The 22927-nt window shown below is 39.4% G+C and overlaps 1 protein-coding gene and 1 pseudogene across 7 annotated transcripts in view, besides 2 other annotated features; both read left to right on the top strand.

Moving 5' to 3' along the window:
* Positions 1 to 22927, top strand: part of BAZ1A (bromodomain adjacent to zinc finger domain 1A) — a 122630-nt gene that overhangs the window by 26506 nt on the left and 73197 nt on the right. For all 7 annotated transcript variants that reach the window (XR_007063978.1, NM_182648.2, NM_013448.3 and 4 more), the window contains one exon: positions 22699 to 22842. Coding sequence is in view for 6 of the 7 variants with exons in the window: in NM_182648.2 (NP_872589.1) it covers positions 22699 to 22842 (144 nt within the window). In the remaining variant the exon portion in view is untranslated. The remainder of the gene's footprint in view (positions 1 to 22698; positions 22843 to 22927) is intronic.
* Positions 3495 to 3554, top strand: RNU7-41P (RNA, U7 small nuclear 41 pseudogene; annotated as a pseudogene).
* Positions 4779 to 5279: an enhancer, noted in NCBI's record as "H3K4me1 hESC enhancer chr14:35312782-35313282 (GRCh37/hg19 assembly coordinates)". NCBI's record gives its function as "activates a minimal SCP1, AML or CMV promoter by ChIP-STARR-seq in naive H9 embryonic stem cells {active_cell/tissue: H9 hESC(naive)}" and the evidence as "EXISTENCE:reporter gene assay evidence [ECO:0000049][PMID:30033119]".
* Positions 10681 to 11182: an enhancer, noted in NCBI's record as "NANOG hESC enhancer chr14:35306879-35307380 (GRCh37/hg19 assembly coordinates)". NCBI's record gives its function as "activates a minimal SCP1, AML or CMV promoter by ChIP-STARR-seq in naive H9 embryonic stem cells {active_cell/tissue: H9 hESC(naive)}" and the evidence as "EXISTENCE:reporter gene assay evidence [ECO:0000049][PMID:30033119]".

The following is a 22927-nucleotide window of genomic DNA, read 5'->3' as shown; positions in this document are numbered from 1 at the left end:
CTAACAGACCTTTTCCCTAATATAGGTTAAATCAGTAAAATGGCCGAATTGGATTTGCATCAGTTTCATTTATAGCTAGGTTTCCCCAAATATTATCCCCATAGTATTTGGATTTAAAATGTATAAAATGTTATCAAGTCAAGAAACATAACAGATTATTGTTCAATATATGTGCTGCCAAAGTGAGCATGAGACTATGGTTCAGTATTGTTTTTAGAACTGCCTTGTAAAATGAAAATTATATAATTATTATTTTTTGAGACAGAGTCCCGCTCTGTCGCCCAGGCTGGAGTGGCGCGATTTTGGCTCACTGCAACTCCGCCTCCTGGGTTCAAGTGATTCTCCTGCCTCAGCCTCCTGAGTAGCTGGGATTACAGGTGCCTGCCACCATGCCCGGCTAATTTTTGTATTAGTAGAGACGAGGTTTCACCATGTTGGTCAGGCTGGTCTCGAACTCCTGACCTCAGGTGGTCCTCCTGCCTTGGCCTCTCAAAGTTCTGGGATTACAGGCACGAGCCACCACACCTGGCCTTAGTTATTTTTAATCTTATAAGCTGATATCAATTTAGGCATCAAGTGGTAATAAACCAATTAGGGCTCTTAACTATTCAGCCATTAAAGTATATTCCTGTGGACTTCCTATGTTGCATTGGTAGAATGCTTTAAGCAATTTAGATGAAGTAAAAGAAAATTAGCTGGGTGCAATGACTCATGCCTGTAATCCTAGCACTTTGGGAGGCCAAGGTGGGTGGATGTCTTGGGCTCAGGAGTTCAAGACCAGCCTGAGCAACATGACAAAACCCCGCCTCTATAAAAACAATACAAAAATTAGCTGGGCTTGGTAGTGCGTGCCTGTAGTGCCAGGTACTTGGGAGACTGAGGTGGGAAGATTGCTAGAGCCCAGGAAGCAGAGGTTGCAGTGAGCCAAGATTGTGCCACTGCACTGCAGCCTGGGTGACAGAGCGAGACACTATCTCAAAAAAGAGAGAGAAAATTTGCACACAAACCTATGATACAGAGTGTTAAGTACTCAGGGTATATTAGAATTAAAAATGAGAAAATTGATTTTTTATCTTTGGGTACTTTTATATTGCTAGCCTAAATTAAGTGCTGTTAATGAATCATAAAATGCATTAATGTTCAGGACAAAAGAGAGCTGCTAAATATATTGATGCGGTAAGATGAACATAAAAGATTCAAGCGAGAAACAAATACAGTTATTTTGATTTAAATATGCATGCTTGGATGCCAGTGATTGGGTACATGTGGGATTAATCAAGTAGAAGTTTTTGAGAAAGGGTTGAGTAGAAATATGAAGAAAAAAATATAGATTAGCAGAAAGGATTACAGGAGGGGGACTTCTTATTTCGGCTCAAAGATAGTATAGATTTTTAGCAACACATTAAATTTATTGTAGTTCTTTTTCAGAAAGAAAGCTTTCATTTGGTCAGCTTACACTACCTTTTTTTTTTCTCAATCCTGCTCCTTCTGTATATACTACTGAATTCGTAAGATAAAAATTGCTAGTTCCAGGACAAAAAAGTCTTAAGCAACATCTCAGCATTGTTTTCAGTAAACCCTGATGACCCTAATATGTTGATACTTTTTTTTTTTTTTTAAGACTAGTCTCGCTCTGTCACCCAGTCTGGATATCGGCTCACTGCAAACCTCTACCTCCTGGGTTCAAGCCATTCTCGTGCCTCAGCCTCCCAAATAGCTGGGATTACAGGCATGCGCCACCGTGTCCAGCCAATTTTCGTATTTTTAGTAGAGATGGGGTTTCACCATGTTGGCCAGGCTGGTCTTGAACTCCTGACCTCAGGTGATACACCCACTTCAGCCTCCCAAAGTGCTGGGATTACAGGTGTGAGCCACCATGCCCGGCTGATGATACAATTTTTAATTTCTTAAAATTGTTATTTGGGATAACTGTTCTTTTTTAAAAATTATTTTTAATTTTTTTTTAAGTTCTGAGGTACGTGTGCAGGATGTGCAGGTTTGTTACACAGGTAGGGATAACTGTTCTTTCTCTGGAATCTAAGTTAGAGTAGAACTATCTTTTTTAGGTACATATCGTTAGGTTTGCTGTATGTACCAGAGACCATCCAACCTAATTGGCTCCTGGATTGTCATTGCAAGTTGAACAGTTAACATTTAGAACCCTTATGCATAATAGTATAAATTGGGAAGTCATTTCTGGGAAACCCTTTTTTTATACGCTAAAAATTCATACATAGTCACAAAAACAAATGAAAATGGAAAATGACTCTGTTTCTAAACATTTAATTCAAATAGCATATAAAGCTATGTTGTAAATGTTTCTGCATGGACTCAACTGCTTTATGCTTCACAAAATAGTTCAATGAAGTTTAGACTTACCATACAAATTTCTTCAGTGTTCTAAGGGCTTCCAAATTGTAGTGGCTATCAGGAGCATCTGTCTAATGCCTCATAAGAAAGTCCTTGGTAAATGCTGGGGGTGAGAGTGGTTAGTTTTTATGGCATTTTCTTTATTCTTTACACTGATGCCATATGCAGTCAGCTGAGTCTCCACCAGGACTTACGGTCATTACTGTGGAGATCTTATTTAAGAAAGATGATTAAAATGGGGAGTGGCAAGTAAACTGAGATTCACCTCCTTTCTAATGTGAAAGGATATTCAGCGTTGGCTTTATTTTGTGTCTTTCAGAATTGATTAGCAGCAGGGTGGTGAAGTAGAATAGTAATGGTTCTGAAGTTCTTAGTTATCAGTGGCAGGCAAATATTATAATAGGCTCATCACATGAAAGAGGTGAGACTGTATAGCTACTTCTGACCTTAAATCCCCATTGGGGATTTCATATCTACATGGTTACTACAGTTTCAGATCTGAGGAATTAGAGGCTCTTCTGGATAAAATAATCTCTCCTACATCTTTTTCTGCCTCCATCATGATCCATTCCTATTGGGCCATATAAGATCAAAGTTTTCTTTTCTTTTTTTTTTTTTTTTTTTTGAGACAGAGTCTTGCTCTGTCGCCAGGCTGTAGTGCAGTGGCACGATCTCGGCTCACTGCAACCCCCGTCTCCTGGGTTCAAGTGATTCTCCTGCCTCAGCCTCCCAAGTAGCTGGGACTACAGGCACACGCCACCACGCCCTGCTAATTTTTGTATTTTTAGTAGAGACGGTGTTTTTCACCATGTTAGCCAGGATGGTCTCGATCTCTTGACCTCGTGATCCGCCCACCTCGGCCTCCCAAAGTGTTGGGATTACAGGCGTGAGCCACTGCGCCCAGCCAAGATCCCAGTTTTTAATAAAAAACTTTTCTCATAGATAAACTTGAAATAATTTTGAGGACAAGGTAAAACTGTCATTTGTTTTCCATGCTGCCTAGGAGGCTTGTAGTATTTATTGAATACAAGTGGAATTCATTTGACGTATGCATCAGAATTAGTTTAAAAATTGGGATTGTCTTTCTTAGACAAATTCAGAGGTCATCCAAAGATAAAGGAGAGAAGCGTTACAGCTCTTTTAGAATTGTCTAGCAGGCTTTCCAGTTTTTGCTGGAAAGCCCCTCTTCCCCTCCAAAAAAAAAAAAAAAGAAAAAGTTGAAGAATTAAGAGAAATAACACGTGTAAAATAATTTTAAATAAAATGAAAAGAGTAGTAAAAGTATGAAAAAATACAAAACTACTCATCATTAAAGGCTGAGCAAAATCTTTTAAAATTAAAAACATATTCTCTAAATAATTCCGAGCAGGAGTTGGCACATTTTAAAAACACAAAGGTTCAAATAGTAAATATCATAGGCTTTGTGGTCCATATGGTCTTTGTCACAACTATCCAACTCTGCTATTATAATGCAAAAGTAGTCATATATAATAGATAAATGAATGAATATGGCTGTATTCCAAAAATATTAAGGAACACTAAAATTTGTTGCATATTATTTTACATATCACAAAATAGTCTTCTGATTTTTATTTTGAACCATTTAAAATGTTTTAACCATATGAATTTTAGGATTATTTTTCTATTTTTATGAAAAATAATGTTGGATTTTGTGTGTGTGTGTGTGTGTGTGTGTGTGTGTGTGTGCGCGTGTGTGTGTGTGTGTTTAGACAGGGTCACACTCTGTTGCCCAGGCTAGAATGTAGTAGCTCTCTGTAACCTCGAACTTCTGGGCTCAGGTTATCCTCCCCAGTGGCTGGGACTTTAGGCTTATGCCACCACACCTGGCTAATTTTTAATTTTTTTTTTTTGTAGAAACAGGGTCTCCCTGCGTTGCCCAGGCTGGTCTCAAACTCCTGGGCTCACGTGATCCTCCTGTCTCAGCCTCCCAAAGTGCTGGGATTACAGGCTTGAGCCACTACGTCCAGCCAATTTTGGAATTTTGATAGGGATTGCATTGAGTCTGTAAGTTGTTTTGGGTAGGATGGACATTTTAACAATATTAACTCTTCGAATTCATGAACACAGAATATGTTTCCATTTGTGTCTTCAATTTCTTTCATCAGTGTTTTAGTAGTTTTCAGTGTACAAGTCTTTCACCTCTTTGGTTAAATTTATTCCTAAGTATTTTATATTTTTATAGCTACTGTTCTCTTGGTTTGTTTTTCAGGTAATAAGTGTTTAAACCATTCTTTTTTTTTTTTTTTTTTTTTTTTTTTGAGACGGAGTCTCGCTCTGTCGCCCAGGCTGGAGTGCAGTGGCGCGATCTCTGCTCACTGCAAGCTCCGCCTCCCGGATTCACGCCATTCTCCTGCCTCAGCCTCCCGAGTAGCTGGGACTACAGGCGCCCGCTACCACGCCCGGCTAATTTTTTGTATTTTTTAGTAGAGACGGGGTTTCACCGTGTTAGCCAGGATGGTCTCGATCTCCTGACCTCGTGATCCGCCCGCCTCGGCCTCCCAAAGTGCTGGGATTACAGGCGTGAGCCACCGCGCCCGGCCGTGTTTAAACCATTCTTAGCTTGCAAAGGTGATGAGCTGGATTTGGCCATGGACCATAGTATACTGTCTCCTGGTACAAAGGAAAGGGTTAAATAAGGGTTGTAGGATAAAACCACCAGAGCCTAAAACCTCAGAGAATGGCATGCAAAGATGGCTTGATATAGTAGAAAGAGTCTTTGGGGCCAAACTGACTTGCTAGTTTTGGGAATCTTCTTTCCTAATCTGTAAAACTGGAAAAAAATAGCTATATTTATATGGTGGTTGTAGTAGTTACCTTTGCTGTATAACAAACCACCCCTAAAAGTTAGTGGCCTAAATCAGTAAACATTACTCTTACAATTCTGTGGTTGGCTGCAATGTTCTTAGAGTCTGGGCTGACCTGGCTAGGACTAGATTGTCTAGGTCCTAGAATCTAGGATAGCCTTACATGTCTGGGGCCTCAGACTGAGGTAGCTAAAGTCCACTTCCATGTGACCTATTATTCTACAGGCGACTAGCCCTAACTTGTTCACAAGATGGTAGAAAGATCCCAGCAGCGAGAGAGAGCAAGCCCCAAAGTGCAAGAAAGTACAAGCCTCAGCGTGCTGTATGTTTGTTAGTGTTACACTGGCCAAAGGAAGTCACATGAGTAAATCCAGAGTTAATGTGGGAAGGGATCAGAAAGGTGTGATTCAGTTCAGTAACTGCAGCAGTCTGCCACAGTGCCTAGCACCTAAGGAACTCAGTAAATTTTAGATCCTCCTTATATTTGTCAGACAAGTGAAGAATCTGCCAGCTGTGATGACTCATCTTTTTTTTTTTTTTAGCCAGTCCCTAGTTTTCTTACATTATAGTCACTGTTCTTGAAACTTGCTGTATGTCATTTTAGGGAGATGAATACAAGACTACTAAACTTTTGAGAGCTGACCATGTGCAGGAACTATTCTAGGTTTTTGACATATACCCTTTTTTTTTTCCCGTAAATTCAATGAGTGGGCACCCCTCAAATGTGAATGAGCCCTAGGGCTTTGGGAGAGCATACATGTACTATTATTTAATTCCCAGGATAGCCATGTGATAGTTGCTTATTTGGTCATTTTACAGTTTGAAGAGCCCATACACAGATGTTAATTAATTAAAATTTGCCCAAGGTCATGAGTGATGATGTTTTCAAGCACAGGCAGTATCAGAACCAGAGCCCTGTTCTGTGCTTCTGTTTGGGAGGAATAAGTGTGTATGACAACATACTAAAGGATAGCAGTTAAGCAGGATTAAAAGATATTATAGTTAAATGCATTTATTGAACACGTACGATTTACTTTTCACTTTACTTGACTATTTTATAATTTTTGTCAAAGCGTGGTCAGATTAAGCTTTTAATCATTCGCTCTTAATGATTCAGGTTATGTTGTTGAGGGTTTGAAAGTCAGCATCTTAATCTGATCATTGAAGCAAAGAGAAAAATGCTTCAATAAATGGGTTGCCCTGCTGCTTAAATTCTTAACCATTGTACTAATCAAAGGGTATCTTCATTATTTTACTTGCGTACTCTGCAATGTTTAAGCCTTTTTCTTTTCTAGTATTTTGCTAGCAGATGAAAGAATGCTGTCTAGTGGCAACAAAAGGTGACAGCAAGTATGGGGGAAACAAATATTTCATTTATTTGTTGTCGTTCTGTCTTTTGACTTGAATTTCCAGGGATGAAAAATGCAATTGTTTGTGCCTTTTTTTTTCTTTGAAGGTAGTAGGCAGTATTCTGAGTTAGTACTTTAAAGTACACACAGGCAAATTTTATATAATCCATTCAGTAAGTATTGTGTGCTGGCTGCTGTTGTAGGCATTGGGAAAAGGGTTATGAATAAGACAGGGACTTGTGACTTAGATTCTAGTGCAAGGGAGATAAACACAAAAGGATAATTTTAGATATTTATTGGTGCTATAAACAAAACTTTGCATGCCAAATAATTAAAAAGTTAAAAAACATAAAAAATTTTTTAAAATAAAACTTGATAGGATGGAGTCTTGAATCATATATTTTTTATTTCAGCCACTTAAGTATCTTCTCTGAAAACCATGGTGCTAGATGCAACAGGATAATTAAATATGAGTAAATGATCAGTACTTAATTGTTCTCAGACATTATATTGGTGTTTATATTTGTAGTAGGGATAGAGTTTGCAAGGCAAGGATAAGTGAAATACATATGAATAACTGATATAGGACTGAATAAGGTAAATGCATTAAGGAAACATAAATAAGGCTGGGCGCGGTGGCTCACCACCTGTAATCCCAGCACTTTGCAAGGCCGAGGCAGGTGTGTTGAGGTTAGGAGTTTGAGACCAGCCTGGCCAACATGGTGAGACCCTGTCTCTACTAAAAATACAAAAATTAGCTGGGCATGTTGGCACATGCCTGTAATCCCAGCTACTTGAGAGGCTGAGGTGGGAATCGCTTGAACCCAGGAGGCGGAGGTTGCAAGTGAGCCAAGATTGCACCATTGCACTCCAGCCTGGGCGACAAAGCGAGACTGTCTCCAAAAAAAAGAAAACACAGGTAAGTCTTATTTGGCTAGTGATTATGTTACTAATATTCAAATAGAATGAATAAAGGGCATTGTAGTGCCAAATAATTTAGCCCTACATTAATAATTTGCTATGATTGGCAATCAGAATGGGCTGATGTTTACATTTTAGTTTTCTCTCCAAAGATATGCTTGCAATTTCCTTCATCTCCTTCCAGTTAGTGAGTCAGTTAACAATACTGATTTTGAGGAGTTTGAGAGCATCCTGACCATCATGGTGAAACCCCATCTTTACTAAAAACACAAAATTAGCAGGGCATGATGGCGGGTGCCTATAATCCCACCTACTTGGGAGGCTGAGGCAGGAGAATTGCTTGAACTCGGGAGGTGGAGGTTGCAGTGAGCCAAGATTGCGCCATTGCATTCTGTCCTGGACAACAAGAGCGAAACTCCATCTCAAAAAAAAAAATATTGATTTTGTTGTTATAAATGTACCCTAAGGATGGTTAAACAAACAAAAGAAAAGGTTATGTTTGAGCTCCCCAAAAGGGGTCTACAAGTAGGTGGTCTAGCTAGAAAATACCAGCTAGAAGAATTTAAGAAGGGAGTAATAAGTATAAGTTTTTTGTTTGTTTGTTTGTTTGTTTGTTTGTTTGTTTTTGGGGGGGAGACAGAGTCTCACTCTGTCGCCCAGGCTGGAGTGCAGTGGTGCAACTTTGGCTCACCACAACCTCTGCTTCCTGGGTCAAGCGATTCTCCACCTCAGCATCCCGAGTAGCTGGGATTACAGGGGCCCACCACCATGCCAGGCTAATTTTTGTATTTTTAGTAGAAACGAGATTTCACCACGCTGGTCAGGCTAGTCTCGAATTTCTGACCTCAGGTGATCCACCTGCCTCGGCCTCCTAAAGTGCTGGGATAACAGGTGTGAGCCATCTCGCCCAGCCTAATTTTATCATCTTAGGTAGTTGTGCATATAATAATTTCATTGTAAATTCTTTCAGTTGTTTTTATGTACTTTATTTTGATGTACATAAATCACCTGACTTTGATTTGACTAACTCAGGTTGTAAGAGAGAAAACACCGGTATAATGCTTCTTTCTGAAAAAACAGGGATTTTTAAGATTGATTTTTATATGCTTACGGTTGAGATGGAGACAAACTTTAGGACTCCCTTTACATATTTTTTGCATTACACAAAACTCTGTGGCTTTTCTTCTAATAAGTATAGGCAGGACCAATCTATACTTCAATGAGATCTAACAAGTAGACCTACCTCAATTAGCCAGGTTTTTAGAAAAGCAGTAATTATTTTTCTTTTAAGTTAAAGAATAATTTAAATCAAATAAAAACTTGTATTCAGATAAGCTTTTATTCTAAGTAGTTTAAACTAATAAAACTTTGCTAAATGTGTTACTTTCACTCTTATTTTAAAAATCAGTTTTATAGAATTTGCCTAAGCTAAAATTCACCCTTTTTGGTAGAGTTCTGACTTAAAAAAATTTTTAATTGTTCTTTTCTTTTTTAAAAAATTAATTTTAAAACTAGGAAATGCTCATTTTTCCTTTTTTTTTTTTTTTTTTGAAACAGAGGCTCGCTTTGTCGCCCAGGCTGGAGTGCAGTGGCACGATCTGGGCTCACTGCAAGCTCCGCCTCCCAGGTTCACGCCATTCTGCCTCAGCCTCCCGAGTAGCTGGGACTACAGGCACCCGCCACCACGCCCAGCTAATTTTTTGTATTTTTAGTAGAGACGGGGTTTCTCCATGTTAGCCAGGATGGTCTAGATCTCCTGACCTCATAATCCGCCCACCTTGGCCTCCCAAAGTGCTGGGATTACAGGTGTGAGCCACCACGCCTGGCCTACTTTTTTTTTTTTTTTTTTTGAAAGATAGTTCTGGCTTAGTCGCCCAGGCTGGAGTGTAGTGATGTGATCTCAGCTCACTTCAGCCTCCACCTTCTGGGCTAAAGCCATCCTCTCGCCTCAGCCTCCTAAGTAACTGGGACTACAGGCACACACTACCATGCCGGCTAAATTCTGTATTTTTTGTAGACATAGAGTTTCACCATGTTGCAGGTCTTGAACTCCTGAGCTCAAGCAATCCACCTGCCTCAGCCTCCCAAAGTGCTGGGATTACAGGCGTGTGCCACTGCGCCCGGCCAAGTTCTGAAATTTGACACAGTTATGTAACTCACCACAATCAGGACACACAGCGTTTCTATGAACCTCCACAAAATTCATTTCTGCCGCTTTGTAGTTAACCCTTGCTTCACCTTCTAGCCTTTGACAAACCACTGATCTGTTTTCTGTCCTGAAGTTTGCCTTTTCCAGAATAAAATATAAATTGAATTATAGCCTATTTCTGGACTTTATTCTCTTCCATTGATCTGTTTGGCAATCCTTTCACCAATACTACAGTGTCATCATTACTGTAGCTTTGTGTAGTATTTATTACTTTCATCGTGTATTTATTTGTCTCATGGAATGAATACTTTTAATTGGAGTTAATATTTTGTTAATGTTTATCATCAGTATTTTAAAATTAAACCTTTTTTGCGACTACTGTAGGTTCACATGTAGTTGTAAAATAATTGTTTCCTGGCCAGAAATGGTGGCTCATGCCTGTAATCCCAGCACTTTGGGAGGCCGAGGTGGGTGGGTCACCTGAGGTCAGGAGTTCAAGACCAGCCTGGTTAACATGGTGAAACCCTGTCTCTACTAAAAATACAAAAATTAGCCGGGCGTGGAGGTGGACGCCTGTAATTCCAGCAACTTGGGAGGCTGAGGCAGGAGAATCGCTTAAACCTGGGAGGCGGAGGAGGTTGCAGTGAGCCGAGATTGCGCCACTGAACTCCAGCCTGGGTAACAGAGGGAGACTCTGTCTCCAAAAAAAAAAAGAAAAAAATAGTTTCCCTCATGATATTATCTTGCAAAATTATGGTACAGTATCACAACCAGAATACTGACATTGATATAGTTATAATACAGAACATTTCTACAGGGCTCTCTCATATTGCTCTTTCTCTTCAGATTTTCAATTTTCTGAAACAGATACGACTTGAAATCTATATTGCCAGTAACTTTCAAATTTAAAAACCTTATTCAGGTTCTGTGATTCATGAAGTGAATTTTACACAAATGTTTATAAAGTGATCAGTGTTTAATAAATATCTAGCACACCTAATAGATTGCCTTTCCTTAACAGCAGGATTTGCCTTGGATGCATATAACGGAAGTGTTTAATGGCATAAACAGAATGGAAGTTTTTGTCTTGTGTAAAATGAGTCCAGAAGTGTGTAGTGTAGGGCTGGTATGATAGGTCCACAAAGTTGTCAGGAACTCAGGCTTTTATTTGTTTTCTGCTTCATCATCCTGTTGTTGTAACAATCGTTTTCATTGTTCAGGATGGCTCAAAATAGAGGAAAGACAAGAAGCCTTTTCCTATGCATTTTTCACATTGAGGCCGGTTAGTTTGAAAATACTGTTACTATGTTGAAACAAAAGATCACTTGTCAAATCTGTGGTGGCTTTTCATATTTAATGTGTTGTTGTCTCTGATCTTAAAATGTTAACCTTGCTGTAAGGAGGCAAGACTATCTTACATGTTTGTGTCAATAGGCTGGACGGCACAAAGCTGAGCCCACAAACAATTGAATACCTATTTATTTGAATATACTACTTAGAATTTTAAAGTTTTTGGTAGTTTTAATTAATTTGGTTGATTCTGCAGCCACACTAATTAATAAGGCTTTAATAAGATACTTTTGAATACTAAAGAGGTTAAGCAGCATATTAATAATATCCAGATATTTGGAAACTAATTAGAAATATGTAGGTTTTAAGCCATGGATTTTGTGTCTAGAATTTTCTTTCTAAAGATTTTTGTGGCTGGGCTCAGTGGCTCATGCCTATAATCCCAGCACTTGGAGAGACTGAGGCAGGAGGATTGTTTGAGGCCAGGAGTTCAAAACAAGCCCAAGCAACATGGCAAAAACGCATCTCTACAAAAAAAAAAAATTAGCTGGGGTGGTGGTATTCGCCTGTAGTCCCAGCTACTTAGGAGGCTGAGGTTAGAGGATTGCTTGAGACTGGGAGGCGGAAATGGCAGTGAACTAAGATCACACCACTGCACGCCAGCCTGGGCAACAGAGACCCTGCCTCAAAAAAGAAAAAAAGAGACTTATTAGTATTATATATATCTTTTAATAATGGATTTAGTCTTCAGTAAGAATCTAGTGATTATCATCTTGTGATATTTAGACTTATAATAGGTCAAATGCCAGTTGGAGAAATAATAAGGTTCTGTAGTCCATAAAGGGTCTCAGAACAGTTAAAAATGAAACATTCTTTTAGGCCAGGCATGGTTGCTCATGCCTGTAATCCCAGCACTTTGGGAGGCCGAGGTGGAAGGATTGCTTGAACCCAGGAGTTTGAGGCCAGCCTGGGCAGCATAGCAAGACCATGTGTCTACTAAAAATAATACATTTTTTTAAAAGGAAACATTCTTTGAGCTACATTGACGTATTTCTCTAAAAAAGGAATTATAAACAAAGCAATCTTTTCCTTTTTTCTCATTGACAAGTAATTGACATAATTCACACTCTTTTTGTGTGAATAGCTGACTCGCTCAAATGCTCTGGTTTCTTCCACTTAAAATGAGATATCACATAAACTTAATTTAAGGTTTTTGTTTTTTAACTCTAAACTTCAAATTAGTTCACTGTTAGAAAATATTGACTTAATTGTCCAAGCATAGTATTTTTTATAAATATTCTTGCAATTGTATTACTAGAAAATAAAGGTTAATGAGGCAGAATGGGGAGCAGTTGTGAAGTATGCTATAGATTCAGCATATTCAATTTTTAGAGACCCAAACAGAGGGTCGGTCTCTTATTTCAAGTAGGTCTTCCCAGGCTTCTAGATCTTCTTTCCCTTTGCTGTTAACTATTTACCTTCTACCCCAAATACCCTGTAGAAATTCTGCATGTGTCTCAGTTATAGAAAGTTTTTTTTTTTTTTTTTTTTTTTTTTTTTTTTTTTTTTTTTGAGACGGAGTCTCGCTCTGTCGCCCAGGCTGGAGTGCAGTGGCGCGATCTCGGCTCACTGCAAGCTCCGCCTCCCGGGTTCACGCCATTCTCCTGCCTCAGCCTCCCGAGTAGCTGGGACTACAGGCGCCCGCTACCACGCCCGGCTAATTTTTTGTATTTTTAGTAGAGACGGGGTTTCACCGTGTTAGCCAGGATGGTCTCGATCTCCTGACCTCGTGATCCGCCCGCCTCGGCCTCCCAAAGTGCTGGGATTACAGGCGTGAGCCACCGCGCCCGGCCTATAGAAAGTTTTATAATTTGCTTTTGGTCCATTGAATTTTTGAGATATAAATTTAAATGGCTACTAAAAATAGCTTTTTAGCGGAAGGTATATACATTCCAGACTATCCTCATAAAAAGCTATTTCCAGCTGGGCGCAGTGGCTCACGCCTGTAATCCAACACTTTGGGAGGCTGAGGCGGGCAGATCACCTGAGGTCGGGAGTTCAAGACTAGCCTGACCAACATGGAGAAACCCTGTCTCTACTGAAAATACAAAATTAGCTGGGCGTGGTGGCGCATGCTTGTAATCCCAGCTACTCGGGAGGCTGAGGCAGGAGAATTGCTTGAACCCGGGAGGCAGAGGTTGCAGTGAGCCGAGATCACGCCATTGCACTCCAGCCTGGCAACAAGAGAGAAACTCTGTCTCAGGAAAAAAAAAAAAAAAACTATTTCCATGTTCAGCTTATTACAGATTTATGACTAATTAATGTTGTGCCCTTATACTGTACTTGCTCCTGTTCCACAGTCTTGCTTTCACTCTGAAATGTGTTTAAGTTGTTAGTACTTTAAGGAGCCTCGCATTGCCTGGGCTTAAAGTTGTGAAATGCCCTTGGGTCAACATAATGTTTCCATTCCCTTCAACTCTAATAATAGAGTGGAAAATTAGAAAGTATATGGGCTTAAGAGTCACACAGTTAAAGTTTTGGCTGTACCATTACTGGTTGTGTGACTGAGAGCAAATTACTTAAATCCCTGGGCAGGGTGCAGTGGCTCATGTCTGTAATCCTAGCACTTTGGGAAGCAAGGCGAGTGGATCACTTGAGGTCAGGAGTTTGAGGCCAGCCTGGCCAACATAGTGAAACCCTATCTCTACTAAAAATACAAAAATTAGCTGGGCATGGTGGCGCGTGCCTGTAATCCCAGCTACTGGGGAGGCTGAGGCAGGATAATTCCTTGAACCCAGGAGGCAGGGGTTGCAGTGAGCTGAGATCATGCCACTGCATTTCAGCCTGGGCAACAGAGCGAGACTCCATCTCAGGAAAAAAGGAAAAAAAAAAATCTGAGCCGGAATTTCATCTTCTAGAAAATGTATAACTTATGGAGTTGATTGATATATAAGGAGAGACATATATGTAAATTACATATTTAATCTGGCACACATGAATGCTAATGGTAAGGACTCTTAATCATTAACTTCCACTGTGTTCTCAAATAATGGAGCATAACTTTAATTCAAATAGTTTCTATGCTCTTGAAGATCCTCTAGCTGGGTCTTAATTCATGATTCTCTGTTTTTTTACATACACCCCTGTAAACTTCTTTGAACTCCCTAGAATCAAGAAATGGTAGCAAGTAGCTGTGAAAGACATAGACTAAGTCTCTAGAAATCTATTAGAAGGTGTTGACTTGGCATCTTGAGTAACATAAGTTTAGCTAAGTACCTATGGGAAGGGCTAGCCTTGATTAGATTGACAAGGAATGCTACCGGTGGTTTGGTTGTGCTACAAAGTCAATAGTAGCATTGACAATAATTACTACAATTTATATAATTTACTTCTGGGCAATGTCCCTGTGTTGCACTGGTTTCCTTCTCCCTAATTCCTCTGTCAGGGAATTGTATTTCTTTCTGTTGGTTTTAAATATATTAGTCCTCAAATTATTGTAGCCCTGTGGGACCTACTGTGGTCAGTTGTTCCCACTGATGACTGTCAGACCACTTTAGGCCTCACATCAACTGTAATTGGGTTCAGAGTAGACTCATTTACCCTGTATTTGCCTCATGACCACCACCACTGTTACCACTTAAGGGGCATTCACCTGGGCTCTGCCAGCAAAGATCATCTCTGTTTCTAACTTGAGCAACCTTGTCATAGGGTCCCTGAAAAGCTTCCTTCATTACTTCCCAGAAGCCTTAGTAATATTATGAGCCCTGATAGATCTGATATCTAAGCCTTTCAAAGGCAGATCCATTTGATTTCTTTCATATTTTTTACAGCTCATGTTACTAAAGTACAGAGCCTTTTTATCAATAGGCTACATAATTACCTAACAGGTTTTGATATGATTTCCTGTAGTTGTTCCTCTTGAGAAACACTGGTTTATTTCTACCAGTCAGTGGTGAAAGTCAGCCTGCAGTTCTTTAGACATCATTTCCGTTTGCTACCAATGTAGGATTGGTAATTGAGCCTCTTCTCAAGCTTTTCTCTTAGAATAAAAAAAGTTGTTTTTTTTATTTTAGTAAAATAAACATAAAATTTTTACTATTTTTGTCATTTTAAGTGTGCAGTTCAGTGGCATTAAGTACATTCACAGTGTACTTAATGTTGTACACAGTATTGTGTAAATATCACCACTATTTCCAGAACTTTTTCATCATCCCAAACAGAAACTCTGTAGCTATTAAGCAATAACTCCCCATTCTATCCTTCCCCCAGCTTCTGGTAACCTTTATTCTATGTTCTTTCTCTGTGAATTTGCCTATTCCGGATACTTCATATAAGTGGAATCATATATTTGTCCTTTTGTGGCTCAATTCACTGAACATAATGTTTTCTTTTTTGTTTGCTTGGGGTTTTTGTTTTGTTTTGTGAGATGGAGTCTCGCTCTGTCGCACAAGCTGGAGTGCAGTGGTGTGATCTCTGCTCACTGCAACCTCCGCCTCCTGGGTTCAAATGATTCTCCTGTCTCAGCCTCCTGAGTAGCTGGGATTATAGGCGCGCGCCACCACGCCCGGCTAATTTTTGTATCTTTAGTAGAGACGGGATTTCACCATGTTTGGTCAGGCTGGTCTCAAACTCCTGACCTCGTGATCCACCCGCCTCGGTCTCCCAAAGTGCTGGGGTTACAGGCGTGAGCCACCACACCCAGCCAAGCTTGGGGTTTTTTGTTTGTTTGTTTTTCTTTGAGACAGTGTCTGAAGTGTAGTGGTGCGCTGCAGCCTCAACTTCCCAGGCTCAAGCGATCTTCCCACCACAGCCTCCCTAGCAGCTGGGACCACTGATGTGCACCACCACACCTGGCTAATTTTTAAATTTTTGTTTTGTAGAGTTGGGGGTCTCACTCTGTTGCCCAGCCTATGAACATGTTTTCAAGGTTCATCCACATTGTAGCATGTATCAGAATTTTATTCCTTTTTATGTCTGAATGTTCCATTATATGTATATACCACAGTTTGCTTATCCATTCATCTGTTGATGGACACTTAGGTTGATTCCACCTTTTAGCTATTGTGAATAATACTGCTATGAGCATTGGTGTATGAGTATCTGAGTTCTTGTTTTCAATTCTTTTGGGTATATACCTGGAAGTGGAATTACTGGGCTATATGATAATTGTATGTTTAATTTTTTGAGGAATTGCCAAACTGTTCTCTGTAGCAGTTGTACCATTTTACATTCCCACCAGCAATGCACTAGTGTTCCATTTCCTCTACATTCTTATTAACACTTGTGAATTTCTGTGTTTAAAAAAAAGAAAAAATATATAACCATCTTAGTGAGTGTGAAGTCGTATCTCATTGTGGTTTTGATTTTGTATTTTCCTTATGACAAATGATGCTGAGCATCTTTCATGTGCTTATTGCTGTTTGTATCTTCTTGGAGAAATGTCTATTCAAGTCTTTTGCCCGTCTTTGAATTGAGTGGTTTGGGGTTTTTTTTTTTTTGAGTTGTGAGAGTTCTTCATATATTCTGCCATCTCTTTGTCTGCCTGGGTATCAGGGTAATTCTGGCCTTATAGAATGAATTAGGAAGCATTCCCTCTTCTTTAGTTTCTTGGAAGATTTTGAGATAATGTATGTTAATGCTTCTGTAAGTGTTGAATAGAATTCCCCAGTGAAGCCATCTGTTCTTGGGCTTTTCTTTGTTAGGAAATATACATACATACATATATATATATATATGTGTGTGTGTGTGTGTGTGTGTGTATATGTATATATGTATATATACACACATACACATACATACATACTTACATTTTCTGAGACAGCCTCTGCCTCCTGGACTCAATGATCCTCCAACCTTAGCCTCCTGAGTAGCTGGGACTGCAAGTGCACACCACTATGCCTGGCTGATTTTTGTATTTTTGTAGAGGCAGGGTTTCTCCATGTTGCCCAAGCTGGTCTTGAACTTCTGGGCTCAAGCCATCTCCCTTCCTCAGCCTGCCAAAGTGCTGGGATTAGGTGTGATCTGTCGCACCCAGCCAGTATTCTCTTATAACCTTTTTTATTTTTGTAAAATCAGCGATAATATTCTCACTTTCACTTCTGATTTTAGTAATTTGAGTCTTTTTTTTCCTTCAATTTTTTAAAAAGAGCAGCTTGAAAAGGACCAAGACTAGGATGCTTAAATTTAATTGAACTTATGTAAATCTTAGTGAGGGGAAATGAGTAGAAGGTAGAAGGTAAGATGCTTTGAGGACTTTGGGTTGACCCATATAGTATACATTTTGTTGATTCTTAGGCCTTAGGGTGCTTTGGAACCAGTTATGTTTTCTTTTGTTTGGGTGTAGGATTATTTGTTTGTTAAATGGAAGGAAAGATTAAACAGCTAAGCCTGGAATGGGCAAGGTGCAGCTAAATCTGAGGAAGAACAGGAATAAAAGAACTAATTGCCTCTAGTATCCTTGCCATCTCTTCTGTCTTACAGATTTTACCACCTTTCACTGCACACTGTCTCCTCCATGTAGCAGGATATATGGCTGCCGACAGCACCAGAATTTTATCTTACAGATTTCATGGTGGGAGACAAGGACTGATTTTTACCTTCTAGATTCCAAGTTTAAAAATCTTAGAAAAGATATATGAGCTCAGCAAAGTAGTGCCTACCCTGTATCAGCTAAATCTGGCCATTATTTTGGGAGAACATGGCAGCTCTATTAATAGCCATTTGGAAGAGGGTAGAACATGGGAAGAATAAAGTTCCTAGGAGAATAGAGCTGGTAAATGAGACAGGATATCAAACAGTATATCAAAATTTGTTGATGGTATGGTATAACCAAATGAATGATATAGTCAGCAAAGTATCTAATCTTGAACCACTTTTTCTCAGAGAATAGAGATTTAGCCCAATGGTAGGTATTTATGTGCTTAGAATATTTGTAGTTAATAAAACCTTCCCCAGGATTGCATAAGAGTTGTAGAGGCTGCAGCCTGGCCAACATGGAGAAACCCCATCTCTACTAAAAATACAAAATATTAGCTGGGCGTGGTGGATTGTGCCTGTAGTCCCAGCTTCTTGGGATGCTGAGGTGGGAGAATCAGTTGAACCCGGGAGGCAGAAGTTGCAGTGAGCTGAGATTGCACACTGCCTGGGGGACAGAGTGAGACTCAAAAAAAAAAAAAAAAAAAGGAGTTGTAGAGATATACCATAAATATAATTCCAGCAATGCTCTCTCTCCTTTATATTTACTCCCTACTGTATCTTGCAACTCTTTTTTTAATGACTTTATTGAGATATATTTCACATACCATAAAATTCACCCATTTAAAATGTACAGTTTTAATTTTATAACATTTTCAAAATCTCAGAAAGAAAAGCTTTGCCCATTAGCAGTCACTGCCCATGGCCCTCCTGTCCCCTTACACTGCCCCCGCCATCCCCCGCCGCCAAGTTTCTGGTACCTACTTTGTCTATCTTCTCTCTAGAGATTTGCCTAGATTTTATATGAAATATAAATATCCAGATTTCTGGATATTTCATATAAATGGAATCCTATGATAGGTGGTCTTTTGTGTCTGGCCCCTTTCATTAGCATAATATTTTCAAGATTCATAAATATTGTAGCATGTATCAGTACTTCATTCCTATTTTTTTTTTTGCTGGATAATATTTTATTGCATGGTATATACCACATTTTAATGATCAGTTGATGGATATTTGGATTGTTTATAATTTTTGGCTCTTATGAGTAGTACTGTTTTGAACATTTATGTACAAGTTTGTGTGGACATATGTTTTATGTCTCTCAGGTATATAGCTAAAAGCGGAATTACAGGGTCATATGGTAAATCTTTGAGGAGTTGTCACACTGTTTTTCAAGGTGGTTCTACATCCTCACCAATACTATTATTGTGACTGTCTCAATAGAGATTAAACCTCCTTGGTTACATAAACTCCCTCTAGAGAAGAAATGGATTTTTTTGACCACATTTCTAGAAGTTGAGAGTCAGACAATCAGTTATCTAGAGCTGAGATGAGACACCAAGGGAAAGTATATATCAACCAAGAGATATGCAGTAGCACTTTGGGGGAATCACTATATATTTTGGTAGTATGAGGAGATCAAGAAGCAGGCAAAGACAGAGAAGAAGTGTGGTCAGGGAGGTAGGTTAGATGATGAATAGGTAAGATTTTGAACCATAAAAATAGAGGTGGAATTTTTTAGTAAGGGGGTGGATAATGGTTTACAGAAGATTAAGACAACTAATACAATACTTTGGATTTGTTGACCAATAGTTAGATTATTGTGACTTTCTTGGGACAAGTTTTGTATATGATGACCAAAATTGTAGGAATGGTAGGGAAGTGGAGAGACAATATAAGTCACACTTTTGAACCACCTGACAGTAAATGGAAGGAGAGGAGACTTCACTGATGGATGAATAAGTCCTGAGAGAAGAGGATACATTGAAGAGCAGATTATAAATTGATAGGAAGTTGCTATTAATTTATTTTTTGGCCAATGAAATGGTCTTTTTTTTTATTTTTATTTATTTTTGTTTATTTTTTTAGATAGTCTCACTCAGTCACCCAAGCTGGGGTGCATGCAGTTGTAGGATCTGAATAGCTGGAATTACAGGTGTGCAGCAGCACCACCATGCCTGGCTTTTTTTTTTTTTTTTTTTTTTTTCAGAGACAGAGTCTCACTCTGTTGCCCAGGCTGGAGTGCAGTGGCACAATCATGGCTCACTGCAACTTCCACCTCCCGGGTTCAAGCAATTCTTGTGCCTCAGCCTCCCAAGTAGCTGGGATTAGAGGTGCATGCCACTACACCCAGCTAATTTTTGTATTTTTAGTAGAGACAGGGTTTCGCCATGTTGGCCAAGCTGGTCTTGAACTCCTGGCCTCAAGCAATTGATCCGCCTTTCTCACCCTCTCAAAGTGCTGGGATTGCAGGCGTGCAAATGGTCTTTACAAGAAGCAAAATGTCTACAGAGCAGGTACAGATGCAGATTATCTTTGCTTGGCCTTTCCCTTGCTTTGGCAATCACTATGCTTCCATATAAGGGGATATTTATAAAAATTGGATTGTTTTTGTTCTTGGAATCTACTTTGGCTTCCGCAATGCCAGGTCCCTCTAGGGAATGAGAAGAAGAGACCATACCCTGGAGTCTCTAGAAAGCTAGAGATAGATAAAAACTTTCCAGGATATTGAAGAGCATGTCTTTTAGCAGAGGAAAACTGAAGATACACAGGAGGAGAAATACAATGCAACGGGATAAAAGAAGAGGTTACAGGCTGGAAGAGAACCCTTCTGACATCAGAATATGAACAATTATGAAGGATATGGACATTTGATGTTGAGAAGGAAGTCAAAGAGCCTAAGTGAAGATCTCTTCTTTCATTTTCTAATGTTAAAGCACTGAGACTGGGACTTGAGGAAACGAGAAAGTTTTGGAAATCTGTTTTGAGAACCAACAAAAGTTATCTCAACAGTAAGATCCTAACCTTGAATTCATAGTAGACTCATGGTTTCAAGGCAGGAAGTAAAGAATTTGGAACAAGAGGGAGTGTGGAGAGAAAACAGGTGCTGTCTTTTCTAGCATTGAAAATTAGCACAATAGAGATGGGATTAAGGAGTATTTTTTTTTTTTTTTTTTTTTTGAGACGGAGTTTCGCTCTTGTTGCCCAGGCTGGAGTGCAATGGCACAATCTTGGCTCACAGCAACCTCCGCCTCCTGGGTTCAAGCCATTCTCCTTCCTCAGCCTCCGGAGTAGCTGGGATTACAGGCATGTGCCACCACGCCCAGTTAATTCTGTATTTTTTTTACTAGAGACAGGGTTTCTCCATGTCAGGCTGGTCTCAAACTCCGGACCTCAGGTGATCCGCCCGCCTCGGTGTCCCAAAGTGCTGGGGTTACAGGTGTGAGCCACCACACCCGGCCGATTAAGGAATATTTTAATTGTGGTTGAATGAGTCTAAAATCATGGCCCATAAAATCCAGATACAGTATGCAGAGTAAAGGAAGCCAGAATAGGGGTGATAGAGTTAGTAAATAGGAAGCTTTCCAGAGATCAGAAATCACAACAAAAGTTGTGAGAATAACTTTTGTCTGAAGAATTTTAGAATTTAAAATATTGGATGCTTTCAAAAATTATAAGGCCCCAAATCTGTAAAATAAGATATTGTGCCAATATATGACTTTCTTTTTTTTTTTTTTTTGAGACAGAGTCTTGCTTTGTTGCCAAGGCTGGAGTGCAGTGGTGCAATCTCGGCTCACTGCAAACTCCGCCTCCTGGGTTCACGCCATTCTCCTGCCCCAGCCTCCCGAGTAGCTGGGACTACAGGCACCCGCCACCACGCCTGGCTAATTTTTTGTATTTTTAGTAGAGATGGGGTTTCACCAGGTTAGCCAGGATGGTCTCGATCTTCTGACCTCGTGATCCACCCGCCTCGGCCTCCCAAAGTGCTGGGATTACAGGCGTGAGCCACCGCGCCCGGCAATGACTTTCTAGACAGTTAACTTTAGTTAGGAATATAACTGCTGAGAGAAACAGACATTTTCACAATAATAGCTGGAGACTTCAGTACTCCATCTTCCATAATGGATGGAACAACCCGGCAGAAGTTAAGAAATAGAGGATCTGAACAACACAATAAATCAACTAGACGTAACAGACATAAACAGAACACTCAACCCAACAACAATACACATTCTTCTCAAGTGCACATGGGATATTCTCCAGGATAAACCTTATGCTAGGTCACAAATTTAGTCTCATTGGATTTTAGAAGGTAGATATCTGTATTAGACAGAGTTTTCCAGAGAGACAGAACCAATAGGAGATATTTATCGAGAGAGAGAGAGAGATAGGAGAAGGGATGGGGAGAGAGTATGGAGGAGGGGACACTGGTGCAAGTCCCAAAATCCAAAGGCTGGTGGACCTGGAGTTGTTGATGTCCAAAGGCAGGAGAAGAGAGGTGTCCCAGCTCCAGAAATCGAATGAATTTGTCTTTTCTCTGCCTTTTTGTCCTGTCTGGGCCCCCAGTTAATTGGATGGTGCCTGCTCCCATTGAGGGAGAATCTTCCCTGACTCAGTCCACTGACTCACACAGCACTCTTCTGTGGAAACACCCTAATAAGACACACTTAGCAATAATACTTTAGCGACTATCTGCTTTTGCCTTAATGCAGTCAAGTTCACACCTAAAATTAAGCATCACAATCTCATACAAAGTATATTCTCTGACTACAACAACATGAACTTAGCAATCATTAACAAAGGAAAACTAGAAAATTCACAAATTTGTGAAAATTTAAAACACACTCTTAACCAGTGGAGCAAAGAAGAAATCCTAAGGAAAATTAGAAAATAACTTAGAGATGAATGAAAACAAAAATATACCAAAATTTATGGGATACAGCAAAAGCAGTGCTAAGAGGGGAGTTTGTAGCTATAAATCCTTACATTAAAACACAAGAAAGATCTCACATCAGCAACCTAACTTTACAACCTAAGGAACTAGAAGAACAAACAATCCAGAGCTAGCAGAAGGAAGGAAATAATATAATTTTGTATAATCTTGATAAATTGAGTTTTAAAATAGTTTTACAGCTTTAAATTATATCTAATATTTGCTTAGATGTTACAGATTTTCTTTTTAATTAAATTGTTTAAATCAATCAGCTATAGCCTCTGCAAAACAAAATAACTAGTTCAAAACAATTCGATTGCTCTGACATGTTTGGCTGTAAAATATGAAATGATTTGCATTTTTAAATGTATCATTTTATTTCAGGTTGCAGTGTAGGATTTTGGAAGTCCTCCCTCCATCACATCAAAATGGTTTTGCTAATGGACATGTTAACAGTGTGGATGGAGAAACTATTATCATCAGTGATAGTGATGATTCAGAAACACAAAGCTGTTCTTTTCAAAATGGGTAAGTGATTTTTATTAATTTTTAAATTATTTGGCAGATTGCCTAATGATATTCCATTGAAATAACTTTTTTTTTGAGATAGAGT

This window comes from Homo sapiens, chromosome 14 (genome assembly GCF_000001405.40).
Source record: "Homo sapiens chromosome 14, GRCh38.p14 Primary Assembly".
NCBI classification, from domain to species: Eukaryota; Metazoa; Chordata; class Mammalia; order Primates; family Hominidae; genus Homo; species Homo sapiens.
This window is presented reverse-complemented; position numbering and strand designations above follow the sequence as displayed.